The sequence below is a fragment of the Homo sapiens genome, chromosome 14, assembly GCF_000001405.40.
Source record: "Homo sapiens chromosome 14, GRCh38.p14 Primary Assembly".
Taxonomy (NCBI): domain Eukaryota; kingdom Metazoa; phylum Chordata; class Mammalia; order Primates; family Hominidae; genus Homo; species Homo sapiens.
The window spans coordinates 51,705,741-51,720,740 of record NC_000014.9 but is presented as its reverse complement, the minus strand read 5'-3'; the positions used below and the strand labels follow the sequence as shown (position 1 = coordinate 51,720,740).

Here is a 15,000-nt window from a genome sequence, read left to right as displayed (position 1 = left end):
CTATTACTGCACTCCACTGTGCTGTCCTAACCACTGTTTTATTTAATCTGGGAAGCAGAAATACAGACACAAGGGCAGCAGGACTAATTTCCAATCTACTTCATAGAAACAGCTAAGACTGAGTCTACAACCATCCAGTCTTGTGGCCGCAAAGGATCACAACTAGAGGGATGTTTTGTTCACAGCCAAACACAAGCAACTCAACCAAGTCATTGGGGAAGACAACAAGACACCTCTTCCACTTTATTACTACTGCCTAAAGTTGCTCTCCAGACACCAGTTCTATAGAACCAATGCTTGAAAAAACTGGGAGACTAAACAGAGAGCCAGTGAGGGGACAGTACTGTTACCATCGTCCTGTAAGTCCTCTTCCAGCCGGTCTTTGCCGCCACTCTCCACCCCTGAGGTGTGGGAGCTGCCATGACTGGTCATTGAGCTGCAGGTTTTCAGCTTGCGGTGGATGGCACTGCTGGAGTAGCTGTCTTCTGGCCCCGTGTCCCGGGGCTTGGTGTCTGCCTCAATGCCCGAGGTGTGGGAACTGCTGTGGCTGGCGGTGGAATGACGGGACAGGCGCTTGTGTTTCATGCTGCCCGCACTGCTCCCGCTGGCCCGCGACCGTTTTTCCAGCTGGTCCATGTCGAGGTCCAGGTTGTCACTGATGTAAGATTCCCGGTACTGCTTCTTCTCTACGTGGTGGGGAACACAGTTCATTAACCAAGACAGAAGGAACGGCTGGTGAGCTTAAGTGACTCATCAGGCCAAGAACAAGGATAACTTCAAATTCAGAATCTAGTGATTGGAAAGTAGTAATAATTTAGATAGGAATTTGACTTCAGAAGACTGAAAAATGAATAAAAACCAGTGCAACAGATTTGAGGGGGATATTTAAACTACTTAGTTTTTTGAAAGCTTCAAGCAGTATAAGAAGAGTGGTATTTAAAGTGCAGTTACAGACCACTTCTTGTCTGCAAATTTATTGGTCCATAGTGAAATAAATTCAGTGAGTGATATGAACATTTAGAAACTTCCAGAGCTATGTGACATTGCCATGACAGCCACCAATGTGATTTTGTATTTTGCGAAAGTATCCATAGCATATTAAATATTTTAAAAATCTGGCCCTTTTCTGCAGATAATTTCAGAAGCACTGCTCTAGAAGACTACTTAATAAATACAATTATGCTAATTGCCATTCATTTTATTTGTTCATTTGTTCAATTTGTTCCACTGTTAGCTTAGCTCTAGCTGCTGAATACAATTTAAAATAAAACTATTCTTCTGAGAATTTCTTGTGAATATTCTAAAATTTGGATTTTCATTAATATAAGATTGATTTTCTCCACTTAGGCTGAATTAGTGAGGCTTTATCATCTACTTAGAAAATACCAGTAATCACTACTGGTTTGATGATTTCCAACTCTGACTGGTAAAGCTGTTCTTTGATTTCACATGTCAGTGCTGTTCTTTAACGCAGTCAAACACACAACACTGCAAAGTCTCTTTTATTACATATAAACTAACCATTCCATTAAGGCACAAAGTTACAACCCAGCTGCCAGTTACAACTCAACTGACACAAAAATATTATTCTTGTCTTTCAGGTCAGAAATGTAAAACAAGGAAGAAGTTTAGATTCCTTGCCTTTTTAATACTGGTGAGAAATAATACAATAAAACAATGTTAAAAATGGAGAGTGCATTTGGGGAATGTGAAGTTGATCTGATTTTAGAAACTAGTAGACTAATTGGGTTCTCAGGGGCCTGTTAATGGATTTTAATTGTCTTGTTTCTTGGTTAAGTGAAAATACTTGCATGCCTGATGTCTGAATCCAGCTCGGAAGTATAATCATCACAGGGTCCCTAGAGAGAAAATGAGCAGGAGGAGAAAGAAAAGATGCGCCTTCTAGGATGCAAAATGCAAAAAAAAAATGCTTGGAGAAGGCTATGTGCACATTTCCAGGTTCCAGCCTATTCACATTGTTCTAAGGAACTGGCTGAAACACAAAGGTGAGTATGTGTTGCTACAGAGAAAGCAGGCTGAAACCAGACACCAGAGCTCCACGCACATATCATCACAACAAAAATGCATCCATGTACAACTTGTCAGGGAGCAGACTGGGGCCTAACAATCCCCATCTTCTGAATCAGCAGGTGTGAGATGAAGGTGGACAGCTAAAGCAGTTTGCAAAAATTACTGTAGTTTTTATTCACTGTGGTTTCACAGCAATAGCCATGTGGCCCTTGGATGAGTGGCAAGTGAAGAGAAAAAAGTAAAAGTCTCTAAGTTGTTGGAGTTCCATTGTTCTAAAATAATTAGGAACTGTGGACCTAATAATTTAAAAGCTTTTCTGTATCTTTACATATAGCCTTTTTACTCTCAACTTCCTGATAGGTTCAGAGATCACTATAGTTCCTCTATATTCACTAGTATGCTCACGAGAAGACAAGTACTTGCCAGCCTGTTTTCTACCTATTCCTGTCAACATGTTAGCATGGCCTGGGTGTTCCACATGGCTGGCTTCTCTTCCCTCCCTAGTGCTGTACCAGACCCTTTCCAGACATTTAGGAAGCTTCACACCGTTCAGTTACAAACTGAGAGAAACATTAAATAATTCTGAAATGTTTTCTAAGAAATGTAAAATGCAACCTCTCATCCCCCTAATAATCACTGGTGTCAACAGTGCAGATCATCAACATGCCTGTGCTCTTTTTACTCCCTCTGTTGTAAAAGCCCAGAGACAATGAGGTTTTTCATACGCTACTTTGGAAAATAATGCAGTAAATGTGAATACTTATCCTAGGAATAAGCTCCAGCTGTTGAATAAAGTTAGGCTTTAACATTTTTTTAAATGACGCAAGGCATGTTTTTGTTTCTCTTCTAAACCCTATGGAAAAATCCTTGTGATCATTTTCTACTAAAATGCTAAAATAGTGTTTTAGACAAGGTGACTCTACATAAAATTAAGAAAAACACAGACTCTTTTTATGCTGTTTTTTGCTAAACTAATGCCCAAAAAAGGGCTTTTCATGTTAAAATGATAAAGCCCTTAAATGGGGGTGAGATCTTGGATTCAGGCCAAAGTTGACCCAGAGAAACTTAATTTCAGGCCTTTTTCAGACCTGGAAAACCCCTAAGTAGAAGAAACTAAGCATGTGTCATTTCTTCATTCCTCTACTGCTATGGTTTGAATGTCTGTTCCCTCCTAAACTCAGGTTGAAATCTAATTGCTATCATAAATCATATGATATCAAATATCATAGTAGTAAGACATGGGAGTTTAAAGAGATGATTAGATCATGAGAGCTCTGCTTTCATGAATGGGTTAGTGCCATTATTGCAGTAGTGGGTTCATTATGAGAGGCGGAGTTTGGCCCCCTTTTACTCTTTCTCACCCTCTCTTTACCCTTCCACCTTCCATCATGGGATGAAGTAACAAGAAGGCCCTTGGTAGATGCTGGCCCCTCAATCCCGGACTTCCCAGCCTCTAGAACTGTGAGGAAATAAAGTTCTGTTCTTTAGAACTTACCTAGTCTGTGGTCTTTTGTTACAGCAGCACAAAACAAACAAAGACACCTACTCACTTAAGCCTCCGAATACACTTGGTACTATGGTTGGCAATGAACAACGCCCTGTCTCTCTGAAAACTCAAAATTCTTTGCAATTTTTACCTTAGAACCTATAGAGGAAGGTCATTAATTCTTTAAGGCTCTGAAGGGATCTCTTAAGGTCATCTGAACAAAAAAAATGTACTAAAATGCTGCAGGCAGAAAGCTGATAGAACAAATCAACTTCTCAAGGTGCCATGTTAGACGTTTAGGAATGAAGCTGACTTGGCAAATTATGGGCTCTGCACGTAATTATGTCACCTATTCTCACAGGTTCTCCTGCTTCTTCATCCTCCTCCTGTCCCCATCTGAATTCCTTTTCATATTCATGTCAGCATAGGAGAGATATATTTGTTACACTGATGAGTCATCGTGGGGAAGAAGTGGCAGTCTAGCAGCAGCTGAAGCCAATACACCTGACAGTTATACCAATTCTCTCTGAAGACACAGGCAGTTTGTGGCAGACAGTGAGGAATGATTCATGTTCTAATCGCTACGAAATTACAAAAGAATTGCCAAACCGGGTCTCATTTGGATTGACAGAGAATTTTTGAGAGAAATCTATCAGAAGCACAAACCTCTACAAGGTCTTTTGTTTGTTTAAGAAAGGATGGGTATTTGCCTGGTTTCTAAAGGAAAGATGAGGTCTGAGGTGTCAAAACTTGTCTCAGACATGAACCTAAAATATGAATCTTCACCCTGATATTCACACAAATACACCAAATCCAATCTAATCAAATTACTGTTAGATATTACTACAACATGAATTTATAAAACTAATTTTTGCAAAACAAATCTTTGAAAGCATAAACAAAACCCCAAAGCATTAAAAAAAAAAACAAACCCAAATACGTAATGTAGCAGTTTTGAGGATTAGGGTTGGGGTGTGTTAAATGGAGGAAATCCAGGGTGCCACAACTCAAGATAAAGGGCTATCAGATTAATGTAAAGTTGAAGTCGGATGTTACAGACCCTTAGCACTGCCTTCTTTCCCACCCTGACATGATCCCCGTTTCAGGGTCCAGTACTCTGAGGCCCCAGACAGACTGCTTTATTTCATCTGCATCTCAGCAAAGGCCCCACAGGACCAGCTGACTTCCCTCTCCTTTGTTTGGCACTCTTGCTAGAACAGACTTGGGGGCCTCCCAGCCGTCAATCAGAGGCTGCAGACACATCTGTGACCTACCTTTATTGTCACTCTAACCCTAAGAAATAATCACATTGGAAAGAATTCCAGACCACCTGTGGATAATAGCACTAAGGTGGGTCAGTGTAAATACAAAGCTCTAAAATGCAGATAAAATCTGAGTTGCAGATAAACCCTTGCCCTGTGCCTTTATGGGTGGCTTTTTGCAAGTATTTTCAAGTCAGGCATGGGAAAACCTTAGAGACTGTACTTGAGAGATAGCTAAATGCAGTCACCTCAGATATTCTGAATAAGTGCTACAGTAGGTGGGGCTCAAGCCTAACCCTTTGCCTTCTGGAAATACTGAGATGTAAATAGTAATGCTGCTCTCAATCTGGAGTGTCCCAGTCCCAAAATCCAATTCTGTAGGAGCTCAAAACCCCCATTCAGAGTAAGAGGCCACAGGTGGCAAAGGTACAATTTGCTTCCACACCCCAGACCCTGCAATACCTTCGTTTTCCTCCAGCTTCCGGATATGGCGCAGGACAGGCTGCAGATTCATATAGAGGCGGTGGCTGTTGCTCAGAAGTTGCAGGAGGTGTCTGGAGCGCATGGGGCACCCCGTGTAGTATATGAGCTTCCGGGCAGAAGGCAAGCCATCTGGCAAAATCTCAAATTTCTTACCCTTTGGAAGGAAACCATGAATCAAATTCAGGAAGAAAAATCTCTGATTTGCCAAAGTCCCCTTTGTTTCCTATTTAGTAAGGAAAATTATAGATTCTGAAATGTATAAAGTTTCATTTAAAATTCCTTGTGGGATAAATTATTGTTTTTCCTTTCAAAAATGTCACAGGACAGGGGATGACCAGAAATTCAGGAAAGCATCTAGCCACAAGGGTCTGTCAGTAAACACTGACTATCCAAAACAGCTGAGGAATATCTTTGGTTTCTCTGGCTGGTCAGGTTATTTGTATAATGCAGAAGAGAAGGGTCCATCATAAAAGAACCATCAAATATAATCCCAACACCCTAACTCAGCAACAAGGCAACCAATTCTAAAAGATTCTAAATTATTTACCAATTCTAAAATATTTATTGAACACTTAAAATGTACCAAACACCTTGCTAGGCACTGAAAAAAAAATAGGCAGTGAATACGACAGACAAGGTTCCTACCCTCATGGAGCTATATATCCCAGCAGGAGAAATGGCAAAGAAACACACAAAATAATAAGTTTATGATAAATTATTGGAAATAAATAAGGAGTTATATAGTGAACAATACAGGATATCTATTTGGGGTTTAGAAGAAATGGAAAACTTCCCTAGCTAAACATAGAGAGAGCTGGTAGTTGGAGGTATGAGATGGGAAAGAACAAGAACAGCTATCAGTAGACATATAAGGAGTCTCATTCTTCAAATCTGATCACTAAGATAAAGTCCTAAGTTGAGGGCAAGGCTTTGACAAAGTTTCTTACAGTTATGGGATATTATGAACTCTTTTAACTTTCCTAATAATGAATAGGGCAGCCGAAATACAAAAAGGAGTATTTCAGATATAATGATTCTCAGCCAGAGAGTGGAGGTAAAGCAAGAACGGAGACATATTCTAACTACACACCTTAAGGTCTGTATGGAGCAGTATGGGCTTGTATAGCCCAGGCAGGGATAAGGTGGAGGTGTTTTTTTTTTAAATCTCTGAGATTTCCCTCATTTTAAAGGAACTACCAGTGGACCCCAATACTGAAATAGTAACAACTGACATTTATTGAGCACTAAGCATGTATCCACTCATTTAATCCTCAAAGCAAGTCTAGGGAGGGAGTTAATTATCTACATTTTAGAATGAAACCAAGGCACAGAGTTTATGTAACTTGCTCAAGGTCATACAGCTAGGCAGAGCTGAGTTGGCTTCAAGAAGCATCATCTGAGAAACTTGTCAAAATAGATTCCTCATCTCTACTCCAGACCCACTGAGTCAAAAATCTCCTGGAGGAGGAGCATGAGGCCCAAAAATATGTATCTTTAAAGAAGACTCCTCAGATAAGGGCAATACACAAACAGATTCAGCAAGCAACAAGTCCAGGACCCTAAAAAACCCTCAATTTCATAAATGTACTTTATTATAACTTAATTTGGGGCATGAAAGGGGCAAGTGCGTCATAATTTGCTCATTTTCAAACAGCTCAGATCCTTTCACAAATAGCTTGAAACAAAAAAGAGCCAGTTAGGAGGAGACAGGTTAGGCCCCATGTAATGTATAAGTAAAGTGAAATCAGATTGAATCGTGCCCAAGTAATTAAAGTAATGTGAAGTCAGAAACACATCTTTTGACTTACAGGGCAGCATGGAGTCAATGCCCACATTCTATTTGCAATATAGCCTCATGGAGCTATATATCCCAGCAGGAGAAATGGCCCTTTATTTACATAGGCCATCTTTCTTACAGGAGAGAAGCCCATGTCTACAAATCCTTATCTTCCTTTCCTCATGTATTTTTTTCAGTAATTTCTGAACAAAGCAGAACTACGATTTTTTTTTTTTTTTTTTTGAGATGGAGTTGCACTCTTGTTACCTAGGCTGGAGTGCAATGGTGCGGTCTTGGCTCATGGCAACCATCGCCTCTCGGGTTCAAGAGATTCCCATGCCTCAGCCTCCTGAGTAGCTGGGATTACAGGTGCCCACCACTATGCCCAACTAATTTTTGTATTTTTAGTAGAGACAGGATTTCACCATGTTGGCCAGACTGGTCTCGAACTCCTGACCTCAGGTGATCTGCTCACCTTGGCCTCCCAAAGTGGCTGGGATTATAGGAGTGAGCCACTGTGCCCGGCCAGAACTATGAATTTTTATGACCAAATGTACACATTATTAACTATAATTCTTTGAACCCTACCAAAAAACGGATATAGCTGGCAAAAGAGAAATACTTGGGAAAAATCAAGACGTTGCTCTAACAAAAGAAAATGTATCATTCTCAATATTGTAAGAGTATTTTTCATGTTAAGAACTGCAGACCTCTCTTTAAAATAATGGGTTTTAAATAGTCAAATATTAATAGAAACATCTTTTTATATAATTCTTTATTCTTTGCTCAAGAGAGGTAACTTTCAAAAGAACTGGCTAACCTCTACGCGAAATACCTTCTGCAACTAGAATAACTTAGGGTCATGTGCTACGGACCAAACATAAATTAAAATTACTAACTTCTTTTGCTATAAGAGTCTTTACTGTAAGATTCTTTGATTTTAAGTTCACTACTGATATGTGTGACAAAGAATCTATAGCACATGCATTAGAATACAAGAAAGCAAATTATCTTCAGTGTCAACTTCTTAAAAATAACAGCTTTTGTGCCTGAGACAATATTGTTTAAAAACAAAACAAAAAATAACAGAAACCCAAAAAAGTAAGCAATTAATGAGACTTTTCTTTTAAGCCAGTTATTTTAAACTTACCACAAACACCAATTTTCCAACATTTGTCCAGGGGAAATCATAAAGTAATTGTTTCTCTTCATCTAAATTCTGTGAAAAGAATATGCATATGGAGTTAATGGGAAAAATGATAGATACTGTAAAATGGCTCTAACTTCTTTCCCTGAAAACCAAAATACAGTAATTAAAATCTGAAAAAAGCCCCCACATCTCTTTGGAGAAATACAGACAATAATTAAAAGATTCATGATAACAATTCTGTGGCTTTTGGTTCCTGTGTGACTGTATTAACTAACCCTTTTAAGGCAATCTTTTCCCTTCTGGTGTATGCCTAAATTTAAATAAAAAGTCCAAAGGACTCAGGTATTCAAGAGATGCAATAAGGCGCTCAGACTTTCATAACTGGATATTTTGCCTACATCAAAGATAAGACATCCTTTCACTTTCCTGTGTCTTGCTGAAAGAGGTATCTGTCTCCCTTTTTGATGGCTGCAGGATAACACTGTCTCACCTGCTAAAAGGTGACAGTTTCTACTTATTTAAGGGGTAAGTTTCATCACTAAAGTATAACGGAAATTAAAACGTCTGGTCAGGCACAATATTAAAATGTTGTTTTTCTTTCCACTTACAAATGCTCCAAAGGATAAAAGAATATTTAAAATCACTGACACACAGAAACGTTTGGATATTAATGATCTGTTAGTGACCTGTTAGTGATGAACCTGGGCTAATCTTTGACTTATTGTTTTCTGTTATTTCTTATTACTTATTGTTTTCTGTTATTTCTTATTACTGTCAACAATCAGGCTGAGTCACTTCATCCATCCTACATCATCCACATCTGTGCTAGACAAATGGGAAATGATGACCAGCCAGTGGCCAAAAATGAACTACTGAACCTGTGGCAGGACCACAGAGGCATGCTGTAAACAGAAGACATGGCTGACAGCATTTGACACAATTCTCATTTACCAACCTGAAAAATCTGTATTCCCCTCATGGTCAATCCAAGAGTCAGCGATGCTTCAATTTCCCTTTTATCCTGTAGGAATAGGATTTTATAAAAAATTAAATGTTTTTATATATTTTTTCTACAGTGGACAATTTAGCACCAAAGAAACATTTCAGGATTGAAATTCAGGACTGAAAAGTTTTTGACTTAAAATAACTTTGCTCAAGCCTTTCCACATACCTAGTTTCCTACAAGAATTAAGAAAACCATGGGCACATATTAAATCAAGAATGGTATATTCTACTTTTTAAATTCCTGAGATTTCAAAGTTTTAGTGTTTTCACTATATTACATACACTTTTGTATCTGACAATATTCTAAATACTTGTTATTGACAACTCCAGTTAACAAGGCTATTTTTGCTGCTTTTGCATTGTTTGATTTTTTTGACCTTCCATCTCATAATTACTCTTTTCTCAGATGTTAGAATCTTAAATCAAATGTAATAGTTATATTCTGAGATGCATAAGACTTTATATGTTTAAAACTGGGCACATCTTCCAGCTCTGTAGCCAAAATTAGGGGCAAGTGACCAAATATTTAAGGCTCTCTCATGAGGATAATAAAGCTGTACAAGCGGTGTATTCAGATAGTTTGGAAATACTTATTTTTAAGAAGTTCAATGATCACTTGCCAATATGATACACAATCTACCAGCTAAACCATAAACTGTAGAAAATAAACTACAATGAGCATAAGGGGAAAAAAAAACCTCCACAATTAAAAATTCACTTTAAAATTCAGCCACATCCTTTAAGTGCTCATCTGTAATAAGTATATATAGTGTATAAAGTTCAAAATAGAAATGAAATTACTAAGTAAATATTTTCATTATGAGATTTCCCAATAAACACAATGAGTATGCAGAGATCTTTTTAAGCTTAGTGCCAGCTTTCCCATGAACATGGGATGAAATATTTTTAAAACATGTGTCCTCACCTGGCATTATAAATATAAGACACAGCCTATTTCTACTATTTAGGCTGTTTCTTTCCAACTAGTATATTTTTACATCAAGAAAAACACATATAGCATAAGCTTTAAGAGGAGAAACTAATCCATCATTATATGAGTTTTGGTCAATTTCGCTTTCAAGGATGTACAGATTGCTTTCCAAAATAAGGCTATGCTCATAAAAATGCTGGTTTTCAAGTATACGGTATATATTGGTGGGAAAGGGGCACAAAACGGGTTTTTTTTCCAGAATGTTCCCTTGTCCTTTGTCTACCTTATTTCCCGTTTATGAGCAGCTCCTAAATGAAGCAGATTTAATGGCTGCCGCTGAATTTCTCCAAAGAATAAAAACTGTGAATCAGCCAATATCTTTTCCCCCACTTCATTATGTTACATTTTTACTAAAAATCTTTTTAGCAGATAAGAGTCATTTTCTATGCAATTCAGAAGCGCCATACTTTAAGTAAACTTGAAAATTAAGTTTTACACAGAAGATAAATTGGGGATATCTACTTCAACAAAAGATTCTTATTTCTTAATAGGATTCTTTAAAATAGCAAGCTTCCCCAGCAAATAAGGCAAAAAGCAATTAATGGTTATTGAGCACTCACTAATGTGCCAGGTATTCCACCTCATTATTTCAGATTCATTATCTCACCAAAGCCTCCCAACCTTGTGAAGCATATTGTATCATCCCCACTTAATAGACAGCTCAGGATTATAGTTGCCTAGGATCCCAGCTATAGCGAGTAGTGACATAGGGTTTCTAATTGACATCTGATTCCAAAGCCACACTCTTACTCTTTCCAACATATCATTCATACTTCTAATACATTTTAAAATATAAACTAATTATCAAAACTGTCATTTATTTGCATTTTCTTGTGTCAATTGAGGTGTCACAAATAAAATCTCTTCAGGCTAAAAAAAAATTACAACTCAGTCCTTTAGGAATTTAGCCAAACAGATCTTATGGAACTCAATTATGCCTTTCAAGGAAGATGGGGCATTAATAATGCATCTCTTGGGCATAGAAGAGAGATAGAAAAAACATCAGTTGGTCCCTTAAGTTTTCTGAACCAGCTAACAAGATTACTGAGCAATACATCCAAACTAAAGCCCAGTTTCCAATGGTCTAGCTATGCTAATCCTACCACAAAAGGCAAAGTAGAGATAACAAGCATAATACTATCAATGGTAATGGTAACAGCAGCCAACTTAACATCATGCTTAACATGTGCTGGGCACTGTTTTAAGCAGTTTTTCATCCAACAATTCCTTTAGTATTCAGCAATCCTAAAAAGCAGGTATGTTGCTGTCCCCTTTAACTATGGGGAAACTGAAGTACAGAGCGGTTAAGTAAGTAACTTGCCTGAGGTCACATAGTAAGAGGCCAAACTGAGATTCAATCCTAGGCAGTTAGGCTCAACTTACAGTGCTCTTAACCACTTCATCCATTTGGTTTGAGAATACACCTTTGAATACTTAAGTGGGTATTCAGGAGTTCTTGCCAACAAAGTGGCACTTATGGAATAGTGAAAGGGGTTAGGAGGAGGAGGGGAAGAGAAGACAAGATGATATAGAGTACTGTGAGTGATTCCCTGCAGAGCATGGCCCCAGTTGTTATTTGGGTGTGTGACCTCTGCCCCAGAAAGGAAAAACGAGGCTAGAGATACACGGGACACAAAGGAGAGTAACTTCCGAGAGTGAGGAACGTGTGGAATACAGTGCCTTAGGCTCACAGCCTATGTTATCAAGAAGGCCTTGACTAAATCCTGGCTTTGCCATTTAGTTTTGTGATCTTAGGTGATTCATTTAATCTCTTTAAGCCTCAGTTTCCTGGACTGTAAAATAAAGATTAAAGTACCTTTCATATAAAGTTATGAGGATTAAAAAAAACACATATAAAGTGTGCCCAGTAAACACAGGACTCCATAAACATTACCTGTTGTGGTAATGTTCTTGTAACTGACGGATACAACGCAGGTATAGCTTCACTTTGAGGAATATTAAAAATTACTTATCAAAGAAGTTGCAAATGCTATTCCCCAAAGCAGAAAAGCAGATTTGGGGAGGAGAGAAATAACAATGCCATAATCACTAAAAAAGTCAGATTAACATCTTATAGCCAATTGTCATCTCACTATTAGAACCATTAAAAAATACTCCACCCCGCTTCCAGGCCAGAGTAAAAGCACCATGGCCTCCAAGACTGACGTGCGATAACAAAAAGCAGTTCAATGAAACTCTTTTAAAAGCATGTAAAAAATGAAATAAGTTTTAATGGAAATGAAATCCTTCGGTTTTCCTTCTCAATCCTATTGAGAAGATGTTTTTTTCTCAGAAGCTGAAGACTTAGTTGCCGTTTCATACCTTATACAATCTGTAGTAATGAACAGCGACGTCATCCAGTCGGACAGCCTCTTTGATATATTTAAGATGAGCTTCGGAAGCTGTTAGTGCAAACTGATCTTTGTGCATGTTTGGAATGTGCTTCAGGATGTAGTCCTTCCCCCTCTTGGAAACAACCTGTTGGGATACAAGGGGTGTGCAATGCAACATTTGTTGGAGAGATGTAAGTTCTACCCCCACCCCCAAAATGATGAAAGAATGAGAAGCTAAAATAGGCCATGTAAACTGGTTGGTTTGCATTGAAAATTCATTCTGTTTTCACCATCTGTTATGTTACTAGGCTAAATCAGCTAATACTAGAAGCTATAGAGTCAATTTAGTTGTACTGCTGAATACCTAAGAAGAAAAATCACAACAAATAGGAAAAATAAGTTATCTTTGCTTTAAAGTCACCAAGAGAAAAACACTACACAAACTTTCATAATTTTGTACACATAATTGTTTATACTTGCAAGTTTATACTTGGTACCATGAAATACATCTATAGTAGGCACATCTTCAGGTTCTGGATCCTACCTAACTCTTAAGAAAATTTCAGCCACAGACTGGGAGGTTCTAAATGTTAATCAAAAGAAGGCAGGGTACTGGGAGAAATTCTCTAAAACATTTTTGGTTCTTGCATAAGAGGCTGATATGAACACTGCTGGAATACTTATGAGAAAACCGTTTCATTCAAACACTCATTGTGATTCACTGTGACTTAGATTTTCATCAGACAGTACTCTGGGCTTTCAGATGTCAAATATATAGTATCCAGCAGCTGCAGGCTAAGAGAAAGGTGTTGATTAAAGTCTTAGCTGATTCCATAAGGAACTTAACAGATGGAAAGAATTATGCAATGTGAGCAAGAGTCGTGCTTAAAATAATCAAAATTTAAAAATTACAGACTTTTTGGTTTTAAAATGTCTTTATATTGACATTTTGTTTCTTCCTATTGAATATTTTACAGAGAATTAAATATGATGAATTAATAGTCAGTTGTCAAGTTCTGCTAAGAACTCAAGTTACACAGATTTTTCTTTCCAGGTTCTTTTCACATGGTAATCAGTTAAATCAGTTATTTATCAACCTTTTTTTCAGGTCAAAAGCACACTGAAAACAGTATTTGTAAGGGCACTAAAGCAGATGGCTTTGGTGATCCCAAGGGTGGGGGAAACTGATATCTCAGCACACTGGTTGCCCTGGCATACTAACTGGATTTCAATAATCAATATTCAATGAGCACCTGATGACAACCAGAGAATGCAAACATGCTACAGACAGCAATAGTTTGACAGACATTGTGATTTCTCTCCAAAAAAATGAAGCACTCTAAGTCACACAACAAAAAATTACTGAGTACCTCAATATGAAGAGCTGATGAAATAGAAAAGGTTAAGGTTATGCCCGTCTTTCAGAACACACTAAGAAACAGTTTACTGGGAGCAAGAAATAAATCATTTTAAAATAAGATGTAAAACACTATTCCCAGGTTCTTCTTGAGCACTGGGCACCTAGATGGTCTGCCCAGAAGGAGCGACACCTGGGCTGAGTCTCGGAGGATGAGTAGGAGTTAGCCAGGTGAAACAGAGAGGGGCTTCACTGGCTAAAGGAACTGCAAGAAGAAAGACCTGAAGCATGAAACACCACAGTAAGTATGGAGACACACCAATGGCTGGATGTTGCCAGAGCCTAAAGTTCAAGGTGCAGGACAACCAGAAAGGAAGCTGGAATGGCTGGCAGGGACTATAATCTGGAGAGTTTCTAGGTTATGCATGGGAGCCTGAGCTTCACTCCACAGGTGACAGAGGAGGCCCTGAAAGTTTAAGTCAGAAGCAAAATCATCTCATCTGCAAGCTGTGGAGTAAAGACCGAAGCAGGGACAAGTTTCTGCAACAGTGCTGCTGAGAACACGAACCTAGAAACAGCAGGAGCTAAGACAGGGAGAGGAGGCAATGGACATTTAGGAAGGCTAATGGCAATAAAAATAGAAGATAATTTTATTTCTTAAGCTGGGTGATTGGTATTCAAGCACAGACATTACAAGGTGTTACAGTTGATGGGACAGGACAGGGAGAAGGAATGGTGATAAGGCAGAGTTCCGTATGACTCCCACGTACTCAGAGGTAGGAATACGTAGAAATGAGGTGGCAAGAAAATGAATTTGATTTAGGACATCTTGAGTTTGAACGGCCTATGGGTAAACAGCTACCTTATGGATATAGGGGAAAAAACCAGATTTGGGACTTGCCTTCACATAGGTGATCGTTAAAAGCATTAATTTGGATGAGATCTCCCAAGATGTGAGTAGTTAAGTGTCAGGTACAGCAGCAAAATTTAGTGAAAAGAGTCTGCTGGATATGTTAATATAAAGCAACTGGTGTCAATATAAAGCAAAAGTAGTGCATATTTAATTTTTTACTTCTTTACTGTATTGATATAAAGCAACCTAACAGGCAGCACCATGAGTGGACT

At 38.3% G+C, this 15,000-nt stretch overlaps 1 protein-coding gene across 32 annotated transcripts in view; it reads right to left on the bottom strand.

Annotated features, from left to right (window-relative positions):
- FRMD6 (FERM domain containing 6) overlaps nucleotides 1–15,000 on the bottom strand; it is a 334,297-nt gene that overhangs the window by 9,987 nt on the left and 309,310 nt on the right. For 31 of the 32 annotated variants that reach the window (XM_047430922.1, XM_047430931.1, XM_047430926.1 and 28 more), the window contains 5 exons: nucleotides 12,508–12,663; nucleotides 9,145–9,210; nucleotides 8,190–8,258; nucleotides 5,242–5,416; nucleotides 351–686 (listed from right to left, as the gene is read on the bottom strand). In XM_047430922.1, the coding sequence (XP_047286878.1) occupies nucleotides 351–686; nucleotides 5,242–5,416; nucleotides 8,190–8,258; nucleotides 9,145–9,210; nucleotides 12,508–12,663 (802 nt within the window). Of the gene's footprint in view, nucleotides 1–350; nucleotides 687–3,392; nucleotides 3,459–5,241; nucleotides 5,417–8,189; nucleotides 8,259–9,144; nucleotides 9,211–12,507; nucleotides 12,664–15,000 lie in introns of those variants that run through there. The other variant, NM_001267047.1, reaches the window with a different exon arrangement.